This window comes from Homo sapiens, chromosome 1 (genome assembly GCF_000001405.40).
Source record: "Homo sapiens chromosome 1, GRCh38.p14 Primary Assembly".
In the NCBI taxonomy this organism is placed as follows: Eukaryota; Metazoa; Chordata; class Mammalia; order Primates; family Hominidae; genus Homo; species Homo sapiens.
The window spans coordinates 208,071,902-208,085,816 of record NC_000001.11 but is presented as its reverse complement, the minus strand read 5'-3'; the positions used below and the strand labels follow the sequence as shown (position 1 = coordinate 208,085,816).

General features: G+C 47.5%; 1 protein-coding gene across 3 annotated transcripts in view; it reads left to right on the top strand.

Moving 5' to 3' along the window:
- Window positions 1–13,915, top strand: part of PLXNA2 (plexin A2) — a 222,143-nt gene that overhangs the window by 158,568 nt on the left and 49,660 nt on the right. For all 3 annotated transcript variants that reach the window (NM_025179.4, XM_005273164.4, XM_005273165.5), the window contains exons 10-12: window positions 1,237–1,437; window positions 3,309–3,405; window positions 6,367–6,557. In NM_025179.4, coding sequence (NP_079455.3) covers window positions 1,237–1,437; window positions 3,309–3,405; window positions 6,367–6,557 — 489 coding nt within the window. The remainder of the gene's footprint in view (window positions 1–1,236; window positions 1,438–3,308; window positions 3,406–6,366; window positions 6,558–13,915) is intronic.

The window sequence follows — 13,915 nt, the reverse complement described above, 5'->3', positions numbered from 1 at the left end:
CATCTCAGAGTTAACCATACATTCAGTATGGCTGGACTATTATGTGCAAGAACCACAGAGTTCAGAGGGAGGTAGGCAAGGGCCAGATGCTGAACGGCTTGCAAGTGGGGCCCAGAGAAAAGAGGCAACAGCCCGAGCCACACCATGACAAGAGGTGGCCACAGGAGATTCCCTGTGTGAGGCTGTGCCGGCATTGCACAAGGCTTCTTAATTATTGCATTTGCCATTAGGAGGACAATATTTTTGTCATTGAACATGTCCTACACCTTGTAGGAAATCCAGCAATCCTGGCCCCTGGCATCAATGCCAGTAACACCCTCTGCAGGCCCTGTAGCAGCATCAGCCCCCAGACATTCCCAGAAGTTCCCCCTAAGAACCACTGCCCAGGAGAAGGGGACAGAGAAAGGGGAGCCTCCTATGAGAATTCCCCTAGTGATTCCCTGTGGAGGTGGTTCCCACATCATCACTGCCAGGGGCTACCAGGCTCATCTGCCCGAGGAGAGAAGGAGAAAGAGGAGATTGGCACAGTGGGGTGGCCCTTTGACCTCTGGTGGAAAATCAGCATCTAGTCATGGAGCTCCATAAATCAATCTGTCTTTCTCACTGTCTCTCTCTCATGGTCCTTCCCAAAGCCCCTCCCTACCAAGACTTTCTTTTTTGGTTTTGTTTTCCAAAGCAACATGGCATTCACGCAGGGCCTGGTAATGAAATGAGATTAAAAAAAAAAAAAAACAGAGCAAGTGTTTAGAGTATTGCTGGGAGGGCTTGATCCACCTTCTGGAAAGCCTAGCTCAGTCGGGGCTGGGAAGCTGAAGCTGCTGATAACGGATGCCCCAGGCATCGGCATCAGACAATGCAAGGGGCCGAGTATCTGGAGCTGGGGAACAAGATGAAACCCAGAGGTAGGGGTGCCAGGTTGGGGACAGGGACACGTGGAGGCTCTTTTATCCAGTGTCTCAGGAGATAAAATCCACAGCTTGCCACACTGTGCTTGAAAATTAATTCCTGAATTGTAACACACACAGCAGATACAGGACAACTTGTGGGACGGGGATGACAATATCAAAGCCCAGGAGCTAAGAGCGATTCCATTTTCCCTGCCCATTCCACGGGCCTTACATGAGGTAATATCCTGCTCTTGGGCAGCTCACCTGATACAAGAGGGGCCTGCCTGTCCCAGGCACATAGGACAGCATGAACAGGGGACAGATGGAGCCTCTTCGTTTGTTCCCCCAGGACTGTCCCCAGCTGGTGCCCACAGAGGAGATCTTGATTCCAGTCGGGGAGGTAAAGCCAATCACCCTTAAGGCGCGAAATCTGCCCCAGCCGCAGTCCGGCCAGCGAGGCTATGAGTGTGTCCTCAACATACAAGGAGCCATCCACCGGGTCCCCGCTCTGCGCTTCAACAGCTCCAGCGTTCAGTGTCAGAACAGCTCGGTAAGAAAACGCAGGCTGGGCCCTGCCTGGAGCAGGGCTTCCTCTCACACTCGTGCTGGGGCCTCAGTATGGCCAGCCCTGGCTTCCGGAGCCTTCCAGGTTCACAGGCTGAGCCCACATCCCCAGGGATGCAGGAGCCAGCCAGCACCCCAGCCGCTCAGCCAGAGCAGGGCAGGTGACTGGTGCCAGAGGAGACAGTTCCGTGAGGACCCTCATGGCAGACACTGAGATCTTTGTGCCCTTTCTGAAGTTGATTTTTTAAATTTTAAATTTTTTTATTTTTAATTTTTGTGAGAACACAGTAGGTGTATGTATTTATGGGCTACATGAGATGTTTTGATACAGGCGTGCAATGTCAAATAATCACATCATGGACCTTTCTGAAGTTGAAAGAGCACCTCTTTGTCTTCAGTGAAACTTGAACCAGAGCGAGTCAACTCCACCCTACACCCCATTCCACATCCCCATTCAGGGAGTGAATAACCAGGAGGGTGCTCCACAGGCAAAAGCTGGAGAAGAGAGGGACAGGAAGTGAGATGGGAGGAGGGGAGGTGGGAGGGGAGGGGTAGGAGGAAGCAGTGAATTTCAGGAGCAGCAAGGGTTAAACCAATCCAGAATGGCAGACAGAGAGCATGAGGTGTTTAATTATAATACTAACCCCAAGAAGATCTTTTTATCTGCCAGCTCCCTGTCTCTGACTGTGGGGGGTCAGCTGGAGATGAGGGAGGGGAGGATGTGACAAAGGTGTTGAGGGAAGCTAATTCGCCTGGGAGAGATAAAGGGAATCTGGGCCTCTTATCAGGGAGCTGTCAGATTCCCAGGTCACAGGCGCTTGATAGATAGAATTTGTAATCGGTGGAAGGCCGCCAAGCGCAAGGGGAAGGCAGGATGAGAAAGAAAAGGGACACAACAAAGGGAGGCAGTGGGCAGGGGAGGGCGGGAGCAGAAGGCTGACAGTGACATGCCCTTCAGAGCTGAAGAGTGGGGGGTCGGGAAGATGCCCCGAGGTCTCCATCACAGGGTGCCAGGACTGGCCACCCAGGGGTGTTATTTCTGAAGTGTGAAGGGGCTAAATGTCTTCTGTGGGATCAGCACAAGAGAGAAAGTCATAGACTCCTGGCCACAGCTAGAGGACTTTAACGATAGGGCTGATGAGATCTGTGCCCGGAAAGCTGTGGGCTGATGAGGTCTGTGTCCGGAAAGCTGTGGGCACTTCTCCCTAGTGGACCATTGGCTAAAGTAAGGCTCGTGCGGAAATAGAGGGCCACCGCAGGGGTTGGCCAGGTGACTGCTCGATGAGACTCTCGGCCTTACAAGAGTAGTAAGAGGGCATTAGCTCTGCCTCTGGAGACACATGGACTTTTTAGGGAGACACGTGAAAAGAGGCACAGCAGATCCTGGAAAGTGCCAGTGCAAGACAGAAAGTGGCAACACCAGGGGATGGACAGTTTGAGGCAGATCTGCAGGGTTGTGGGAGAGGACTCCTGGGGAAAGTAGAGCTGAGCTGGGCTAGAAGAATACGGGTGGGTTAAAAGGATGGAGGTTGTAGGGAGACGGTTGCATTCCTTATGAGATAGGAACTCAACAAAGACAGAGAGGGGCTTAAGAAGATGTGTTTGGAGAAAGGTAGATTCAAAGCTTTCCACGGGAGAGCAGTGGAGGAGAAAGCTGGAGGAGTCAGTTTGCATCCGATTATGCAGGGCACTGAATGCCAAGCTAGGAGGCTTGGGTGGGATTCTCTTGGCATTAGTGACTGGGATTCAGGGAAAGAGCGTCATAATAATCTGAGCAGCATGCAGGGTTTGTCTGCATCCCTGACCCCTGTGATAGAGAGCCACATGAGCCCCATGCCTCTGCCCGTCTCCCTATAGTACCAGTATGATGGCATGGACATCAGCAATCTGGCCGTGGATTTCGCTGTGGTGTGGAACGGCAATTTCATCATTGACAACCCTCAGGACCTGAAAGGTAAGCGGCTACTTCCGGGTAGAAGTTTGATCTTTTCACGACCCCGGGAAAGACTGGGGCTAGAGGGATCAGAGCCAGCCAGCCGCTGTGCCATGAATAATACACTCCCTCTGTCGGCGGAACTCTTCAGAGGATCCTAAAGCAACATTTGGAGTCATCAAAGGAGTCCTGTTGGGAGCCCTGTTTTATTACAACCAGAGCATCCGCTGGGCGGCCGCCGGCCCATCCACGTTATTCTTTGGCTCCTGCAGGCTTTGAAGTGTCTGTGGAACCTGACCTAGGAGAACAGCAGGCAGGAACGTCCGGCTAGTTTCCCTGGAAATGGAGATATTGTTTCCAGTCAGGCTCTTGTTCCCCTGTCCTTGGCCCTGGTCACAATCACTGCACAAAGAGGGTTTTTAAGGCTGCTCTCCAGTTCCTGAGGTGGGCGGGAGAGAGCAGCATGCAGAGTCCAGCTCACATCGGGAGCAAAGAATTCAGGAAGGGGATCTGGCTGAAGAAGGAGGGGTGCTCCATGAGGGTGACCCTTATTCATCGTCCTATAAACTCATGTCGAGCTCCTCCCATGTGCCAGTTAGGCCCGACCCTCAGTGCAGCAAATGCCAAGATTCCACCCTGCTCTCGAGAATGATAAAAGTGACTCCAATATGATGAGGACTCGTGATGGGTAGACACTCACTAAGTAATTTATTAGAGATTATTTTCCTTAAGCATCACAATAACTCTGAGAGGTATGTACTATTATTATTCTCATTTTCTAGATGAGGAAACTGAGACCCAAAGAGATTAAGAAATGGGCCACGAGTCAGATAGTAAGAGCTGGGATTGGAACCAAGACAGTCTAATTTCAGAGCTCGCAAACTGAGCCACATCACTGTGAGGATCTACTACTTAGGCCACTGTAGGATTTAAACTCCTTCCCCCCTGGAATATATTCCTATCCCCCACACTCCTCCTACCCTCAGCCACAAGCCTTGCCACACTTCAAGTAGCTAGGGTTGTCACAAGCCTCTGCTTCCACCTGACGGATCAGCCAATGGAGATGGGGTAGGGGGCAAGGCCATAGCAGGGGCTGCAAGTTTTTCAGCATCTTTAGGGCTGTAGCTCCCTGTCCCAAATGCTGCCATTAAAATCAAGGCTACTTAGACTGGGAGAAAGGAACGGAGCCAGGAGGATTATTTTTTTCTATTTCTCCTCATACCCAGGCCAAACTTTCTCACTGCTAAAACATAGGAGACAATTACCCTGCTGGGGATCTGGGCTTAGATCCCAGAGGTTGCCTTAGCACCTGGAGCTTAGAGAGCAGCCACATCCGAGCTGTTGCATCGGAAACTCTACTTGTGACTCTTGCAATGTTGAAGAAGCTCTGAGAGTGCACAGACAGCGTTGTCTTCACATTCGTATCACCTCCACCCACTAGCCTGAGTGTCTCTGCCGGCTGCGCATTGGGCTGGGTGGAGAGGACCACACCATTTAAAGACTCAGGTTCTAGAATCCAGCAAAGTGGGGTTCACCTGCTGGCTCTTTCACTTACAGCTGTGTGAACTCAGATGAATGACTGTTCCCCTTTACATCCAGTCTCCTTATCTGTGAAGTGGAGGGAAGGATGCCCACTTCTCAGGGTCACCGTGAGGATCAAATGAGCTCATGGGTATGAACCATGTGGTACATATTTATAGATGCTCAGTGTGTACTCATTCATTTTAAGATTCCCATTTCCTGCCCTCTACCTTACAAAGCGATAAGCATGAGGGTATTTAAATATAGGCCCTGCAGCTGGGACTAAAGGATGCTGGACATAGCAGAGGAACAGGATGAGGACCTATGGGAAGAATTTTAAAATTACCCTTTCCCTGGGGCATGTGTCTCACTTTCAGCAACGGCATACCACCTGGTCCTGAAAGCTTACATGTGCTTGACCAAAAGAGTGGAAAAATGACTTTTACGTGTTTTGCTTTTGGAGAATTCTACTTGTAACTCAAAATCTCAGCAGGCAAGGAGCTAAGACCAGGTTCCTGAACCTGAAGCACAGTTCACTAATTCGCTGGTTATACTAGCACTTTTAAGTCAGCAGGAGACAAAAAAAAAGACAAAGGGTTTGCACACTCCAAATGTTACTATTTAAATAGCCAGTTTGCCCTCTCTGGGGACATATTCTCCATTCATAAGGGCTGGGAACAGACTGTGTCACCCCCTTTTTTTTAATCAGCAATGCTTCCCTCACTGCTAGCCACCTGGCCTTTCTTTAACCCCAAGCTGACTCCCGTCTCAAACCCATGCAATTTCCAGTTTGCCAGACAACAGTCCTCACTTCTCAGGACCTACCATTAAGCAGCAAAGCAAGTTGGAGTTTGAAGATTCCAGTTTGGGTCACTAATTTTACTAAGCTCTAAGAGTCATTATCTCTCCCTGAGCCTCATTTTTCCTTCAATGGAGGAAAGCAGCCCTTACCTCCTGCATGAGGACCATATGTGAGAGTGGAGAATAAGAGAGATGGCAGCATAAGAATATAGCACGAGTTCAAAGAAAACATAATAAACATATATAGGGCATCAGATATGTTACAGGCACTGTGCTAAGCACTTAATATACATTATCTTATTCCAACCTCACAAAAAAAAACAACGATTATCTTCATGTTAGAGATTAGGTAAGTGAGGTTCAAGGAGGTGGAATCCTCTCTCACATTGCTAGGAAGTAGTGAGGCCACAATTAAAGCCCTAATCTGATTCAATCTAGAGCCAGAATTCTTAAATAATATTATTCTTCCTAGTGCCCTTAAGTGACTGGTAAGAGGCTCAATTTACTAATTCCTCAGTCATTCTTGCAATGATAATGATGATTGGTGGTGTTATCCATGGTGGGGAAGAGTTTCTATCATTTCTATCACACCTGCAAGAGGAGGGTGCATTGTGAGCAGCCCTTTCTGGTTTCATCTGTGACCACCTGCTCTCTTTGCAGTCCATCTCTACAAGTGTGCAGCCCAGCGGGAGAGCTGCGGCCTCTGCCTCAAGGCCGACCGGAAGTTTGAGTGTGGCTGGTGCAGCGGCGAGCGCAGGTGCACCCTCCACCAGCACTGTACCAGCCCTTCCAGCCCCTGGCTCGACTGGTCCAGCCACAATGTCAAGTGCTCCAACCCTCAAATCACCGAGGTAAGTCCTGCAAGTCTCTAGAGCAGGAAGGGGTGGCCAAGAGCTGACCCCAAGACAGTGGGAGAGGAGTGCAAATTGAGACTCTGTGGACAAATTATTGGCGTACAGTGAGTTTAATGTGGGGGGGTGTAGGAAACCTCTCGCGTGTGTCTTAACGGCCCCTGTCTAGGTATAAGAGGTAAGTGTATGGAAGCGCATCCTCATGCCTGCGCATGAATGTACAAGCGCATTGGTGTGCACGTGCACACGACAAGGGAGGCAGAGCCAACCCAGTCTCCCTGCCAGGCTGGCTGAGCCAAGTGAGGAGGAGAAATTGGCTCCATGGTGGGTGAACATTTCAGAAAACAGGTTTAGCTTTTCTCAGCAGAAATGTGATTTCAGGAGCCGCAATTAGCTCGGAGTTGCAAAGCTGAAAATGGAAGAAGAGAGTAAAGGCAGGCACTACATTAGCCACCGTGCCATTTCCCAGGATTTACTCCCCGTCCCAATTTTTTCATGCATTTTAATGGAAAGAAAAGGAAGTTAATTATCCTGGGGAAAAAATGATGTTTCCAAAATAGCAAATTCCAAAGGAAGATGATGTGGATGAAAATGCAATTGCTTGGGTTTCAAATGGCCTGGGAGAGGAGTTGCTGTATTTAACTTTGGTTGTGTTCTGTGCTCCCTCTTCACTGCTCCCTAGTCTATAACTGTCACTCATGCTTTGAAACTAACTGCACTTTCCTGGTGGTGGCTAGGAATAAAGGCCCAGGCAGGTACCCAGTGATCTGCATGTTTAAGAAAGGAGGAAGAGGCTGCTCCTTTTCTGCCTCTTCCCTGAGCTGCTGCACCATCCTTTTCCCTGCTTCATTTTCCCTGCTGGCCAAGGAAAGCAACTCTGGTCCTCACCTATGTCACAGAATATTGGGAAACTTCTAGAACGTCTCTATGATTATATCAAAACCCCAGATCAGTTTTAAAAAGAAACCCTCAAGATAGAATGGGTGCTGCTAACCTACAGATAGGTTATTTGAAGAGGTAGAAATTATTTATTTAATGTGAGTAAATTACATTTAATCCTCACAACCACCATGGGAAATAAGTATTCTCACCCCCACTGTACAGATGAAGAAAATGAGGCTCAGAGAAATTGAGTGACATGCCCAAGTTTATACCGCTGATAAGTGGCAGAGCCAACATTTGAACTCATATTTAATTATAAAACCATTTTTAAATTCTTTACAATATTCCCAAGTAACATAAAAGAAGAAGTGGTGCTTCCCCTTCCTTCATATCCGGACCTTTCATAGACCAGATAGATGCAATCCATCCACAAGACACCATATCCCGGACAATGCAGGGCTGTCGGTGGGAGAGCTCTTACTGCATCCAGGCCCTCATTCATCTGTGCAGAGAGGAGTTAGGAGAGCACAGACACTGCCTTTCAAAGACAGAGCTACTTCAATCCCATTTTATTCTTGATCGTGACCAGGGATGGTGCCTCCTGACTTTCTCCTGTGTCTTTATGTCTCTGGAAGAGAATGTTTGCAGGGGCTGTTGGTGGTGCCCCAGCCTCTGCCCTCAGACAGCTAGCTTCCTGAGCTGCTCAGGGCTCCGTGCCTTCCCCCTGATTCGAGTGATTTCCGGCCACTGCTGGCCTGAGAACTTGCACTGTTCTGTAATTCTTGCTGCTGCAGTTGTCAGTCTCTACATCTGTGGGCACCCATGGTGTGGGGGAGCTTAAATTAGGCAGAGACTTGCTTCTATCAGCACCACCCGCCTCTGCCAGCCCCAGCAGCTGCACCATCCACTCCCCAACTGGCTGGGGCCCCTTTCCAGCCGAAGGCAAGCTTCTCACTGGGAAACCTCTGCCTCAGCCGCCCCTGCTCGCTGACCGGGGGCTGACGGGCTGCTCTGTTCACAGAGGACACCCAGGCTACGCGAGGCTAATTAACCCCCCGAGGTAATTATGCTGTAATTGATTTTCCCAGTGAACATATCAGCAGGCATCAGAGGCCCCAATCTCCTGCTGGTACTTTTCAAGTCAAGGCTGTTGTGAAATGAAGGAGCATCTTTGGAGAGAGACAAATCCATGCTGTGTCCCAAGCCACTCGGGGGAGGTCACTCTGAACAGGACATGGGGGAGGGAGCATCCAGGCCTGGAATGTTGTATTCATGATTATCTGGAATATTTTCTTTCATTTCATTATTTTCATTTCAATATTTTTTTTCTTTTCATTTTCTCCTACCCCTACCCCATCCTCCTTTCCCTGTGAAAGTCATTGTCTCTTTCTTTAACTTTTCATTCTTGAAATAATTTTAGACTTATAAAAAGGTACAAAAATAGTACAAAGAACTTTCATATACCCTTCACCCAGATTTCCAAAGTTAACATCTTACATAACCACAGTATAATTATCAAAATCAGGAAATTAGCATGGATACAATAATACCATCTAATAAACGTGCCTTATTAATATTCTGCCAATTGTCCCACCGATGTCCTTTTTCTGGTCTAGGATCCAATCCAGGATCCCATGTGGCATTCTATTGTCATGTCTCCTTAGTCTTTTAATCCTCAGTCTTTTTTTGTCTTTTATGACTTTGGTACTGTTGAGAAGTACAGGCTAGTTATTTTGTAGAATGTCCCTCAATTTGGATTTGTCTAATGCTTCCTCATGATCAAATTCAGGTTACATATTACTGTGGCAAAAGTACCAAAAATACCTGTATGGTACCTATCAACAGGGCACCTGACACAACTTGAAGGGGATCTCAGAAGCCGAATCTGGGCAATTTGAGCAAGAACATAAAAATTGATAGCCGTGGATTTCACCAATAGAATAAGAATCCATGGTTCTTCCTGAAAAAAAGAAACAAACAAGTAAATAAATAATGGGGGGACAGCTGCAGTGGCTCACACCTGTAATCCCAGTTCTTTGGGGAGCAGAAGCTGAGAGGATTGCTTGAAGCCAGGAGTTCAAGAACAGCCTGGGCAACATAGCAGAATCCTGATCTCTAAAAAATAATAATAATAATTCTAAATTTTGCTGGGTGTAGTGGTGCATGCCTGTGGTGCTAGCTACTCGGGAGACTGGGGTGGGAGGATCACTTGATTCCAGAAGTCCGAGGCTACAGTGAACTATGATCATGCCATTGCACTCCAGCCTGGGCAACAGAGCAAAACCCTGTCTCTTTTTTAACTTTTTTTTTTTTTTTTTTTGAGACAGGGTCTCACTCTGTCGCCCAGGCTGGACTGCAGTGGCGCAATCTTGGCTCACTGCAACCTCCACCTCCTGGGTTCAAATAATTCTCACTCCTCAGCCTCCTGAGTAGCTGGGACAACAGGCATGCACCACCACGCCTGGCTAATTTTTGTATTTTTAGTAAAGGTGGAGTTTGCCATGTTGGCCAGGCTGGTCTCAAACTCCTGACCTCAAGTGATCCGCCCACCTTGGCCTCCCAAAGTGCTGGGATTACAGGCTTGAGTCACCATGCCTGGCCAAGACCCTATCTCTAAATAAATAAATAGAGAGAAAAGCTCTTCTTTACACTAGATTCCAACTAAAAAATGTAGAAGTAATTACGGAAATAGAAATCACCATTTGGCACAGTACACAAGTAATAATTGTTTCAGGCAAAGAATGGTCAATGAACACTAAAATTAGTAGATGAAAGTATGATGAGAAATAGGATATTTACATAACCTTAAGCTACCTTCCCATAAGATACTTGTTAATTATGACAAGAACAATAGTGACTGGGCAGTGAAGAAACGTGGTAGACCTCACCTAAACCAATTGATGAAAGTAAACAAAGCCAGTAATGGGAAAAATCAACCTCATGTACCTTTCAATAGAATGCTCTGAGAAGGACACAACCTCATTTCTATGGTGTTTTTGGCAAGAATATGTAATTTGCTAAAAGCAACCTTTAAGGAGATTTTCTTTTCTTATTATTTTTTTTTTTTTGAGACAGAGTCTCACTCTATCGCCCAGGCTGAAGTGCAGTGGTGTGATCTTGGCTCACTACAACCCCCGCCTCCGGGTTCAAGGGATTCTCCTGCCTCAGCCTTCCGAGTAGCTGGTACTACAGGCACGTGCCACCACGCCCAGCTAATTTTTGTATTTTTGCTGGAGACAGGGTTTCACTATGTTGGCCAGGCTTGTCTCAAACTCCTGACCTCAGGTGATCCGCCCACCTCAACTTCCCAAAGTGCTGGATTTATAGGCATGAGCCACCATGCCCGGCCAACTCATTTTCTTTACTTCAGCTTTCTTGGCTAATCCCTTTGCACTGGCATAGATGTTTTCCCCAAACCTCTGAATCATCGGACTTCCATGAGGCCCATACCCTTTGATGCAGACCTCCTTGTCCCCAGCCTTCATCTTCAGAATGGGTGTCCTCCTTAGTGCAGCCACTCTGTGCAGTAAATAGAAGCCATTTACTACAAAGATCCTTCTTGAAGGATGAAAAGAGAAGGATTCTAAGATGGCCTGTGATGGCAGTTGGGGGTGGCAGAATCTCCAGTCCTGGAAATAAGTGGAAGCTGGAATGGATGCTGTCCTTCCTGGGACAGCAGAGAAATAAATGAGATGATCTCAAAGGAGTTCTACGTTAGAAAAAGAAGTGGGCTCACGCATAGTTAGATAAACAGCTGTGTTATTCCTTAACCCCTCCTTACCCCATCTTCTCCATGGCAACCAGGCCCACCCGAGGGACCCATCTTTTATGGCAGCTTCATGTAGAACAAGTTGTACAGGCTATTGAATTTCACAGTTTGCATAAACTTCAGGTTAGGACCCCCTCAGGACTTACCTTCTGCTCCTCAGCCAGCTCGTGGTGTGATAATGATGCTGTCCCCCATGGGAGGCCTCCTGAGCTGCTCCCATTTCCAGCTGTCATCGTGGGTGTCTGTGCACGTGTCACCTGTTCAACCCTAGGAACAGGAGACGTGCAGAGGATTGGAAAGCCCATGAGATGGCTGGCCCGCCACGTTTCCGTTCCCCCAGCCTATGCTTCAGGACCTGCTGGGACCTCAAAGAGGAGGGTGTTAGGAGCCACAGACTGGAAAGGAAGGCCCAGAGAAAAACATTTCTTAAGGGGCCATGAGTAGGCAGGATCCAGCAGAAAAGGAAGAGACTGAATATTTTCTCAGGAAGATAAACTCAGGGAGGGTAAAGGGATTTTGGAGCTCACATAACAGAGGTCTTCTTCACTCCAAGCGAGTGTATCAGTTTCCTAGGGCTGCCCTAGCAAAGAACCACAAACAGGTGGCTTAAACAACCTGAATATATTTGGAGGTCTGAACTTCAAGATCAAGGTGTCAGCAGCGTGGGTTCCTTCTGAGCGCTGTGAGGGGGAATCTGTTCCAGGTCTCTTTCCTGGCTTCTGGTGGTTGCTGGGAATCTTTGCTGTTCCTTGGCTTGTAGAAGCATCAACCTGACCTCTGCCTTCATGTCCACATGGCATTCTATCTCTGTGTGTGTGTCTGTCTCCCTATTTTTTTTTTTTAAATAAAGACCCTGTCATATTGGATTAGTGCCCACTCTAATTATCTCATTTTAATACGATTACCTCTTTAAAGACCCTATATCCAAAGAAGGTGCCATTCTAAGGCACTGAATTAGGTCTTCACCATATGAATTTTGAGGAGACAAGAGTCAAACCATAAGAGTGAGCATTCTGATCAGAGGGGGGAGATGCCACCATTCCAAATATGTTAATTCACTCATTAAATGAATATTTAATTAATGACTACTGTATGCCATGAACTATGCTGGGCTTGGAAGTTGTCTGTCACATGTATATGTGACTCCTGGTTAAGGAGGCTAGGTTATGCAGCCTCTTCCAATGTAGCCCCAGCCTATGCTTGAACATTGGCCACCTGGAAGAGGCTGGAAACTGACTGCCCTGCAGGCCATTGTGCTTCCTCCAAAAGGCCTAGGGCAGACTTCTAATCTCCACCCTCTGCAGTTGTGTCCTGTGTAGAAGGACTGAAGCAGGGATACAGGTCTTCTGTTAATGAGGACACTAACCTCAGGACCTCAGGCAAGGGACATGAGCAGACCAGCCAACATTCTAATTCTGGGAGTCTTCATGATAATTGCTTCTCTTTAATAAGACTCTCCCATGTGCCAGGCTCTGAGCCTACTCCTTCAAACAACCCTGCAAGTTGGCTATTATTATCTTCACTTAAGAGTTGGGGAAACAGTTCTTAGAGAAGTAAAGAATTAGCCCAGTGTCACACACACATCTGGTTAGTGGCAGAGCAGAAGGCCGACTTCCTCCACCACACCATGGTGAGGGGGATGGAGGGCTATTCCTTGGCTATACATTTCCCCACCTCATCCCACCCCAAGAGTACCTAAAATGTCTCTGCGTGCAGGATCAGAATCCTCTTGGAACTTACCAAGAGATGCCAGATAAATTGGGAACATTGGCTACCCTTTGTACTGAGCCTTAAAGTAATCTTCACCTAACTGTCTTCCTAAATGTAATGAGGTCCACACTTACTCCTATGAGTGGGAGGAAAAACAAGAAGGGGATATTGGGGCATGTGAGCTTGGGGCAGTCATTTCTTGCCTTTTGGGGGAAGCATTATTCTAACCTCTACCCCAGTTATTTCTTGAAGCTATCACACTCAGTTGGGTTGTTTTTTTGGCTATGCCCACCAATGAGATGGCCATTAAGCTAAAGTGAAAGCTGGATTCCCTGGCCTGGCAGCTCTGACCTCTCAAGCATCTCAGCCTAATGGGAGAGGCCAGACAATGGGGCCCAGGTAGTTCACACTTGCAGGCAAGAACAGAGATCAGGGTGAAGCCAAGGCAAATCAGGCTTAAGATGCAGGAGATGAACACCAGAGTTGGTGTGACCAGGAACCCACCACCCTTAAGATGTGAAAGAACATGACTGTGTGTTCCTGAAGTCACCTGGCACATTGCACCATAAGGCCACATTGATGCCAGGCAGTGGGGGTGTTAGTTTAACAGCTGTTTCTCCAATGACCACCATGTAGCTTTTACTTTGTGAATTTTTCAGCCTCAGTAACTTCTCCAACACCTCCCTAGTCCATGCTTAGGGAATATAAATTCTCTTTAACATTATCTTACGCATCTTAGGTACGTGTAACTGAGAAAGAAAATCAATTATAGAAAACCATGTACACTGGCCTCCAAAACCAAGCTCAAATAATTTTTGATACCTTAATAGTTTGAGATGATCCATCACTCCTGCTGGCTCCTGTTCTCCACTTTCACAAATAATTTAAAGTAGATTGGTTTCGCCTAGATTCTCTCAGATGCAAATGCATTTGTGAAACTGTTTGGGAAACTGTGGGACATTTAAAAGTATTTATCTGCAAGGCTGCACCAAATCTC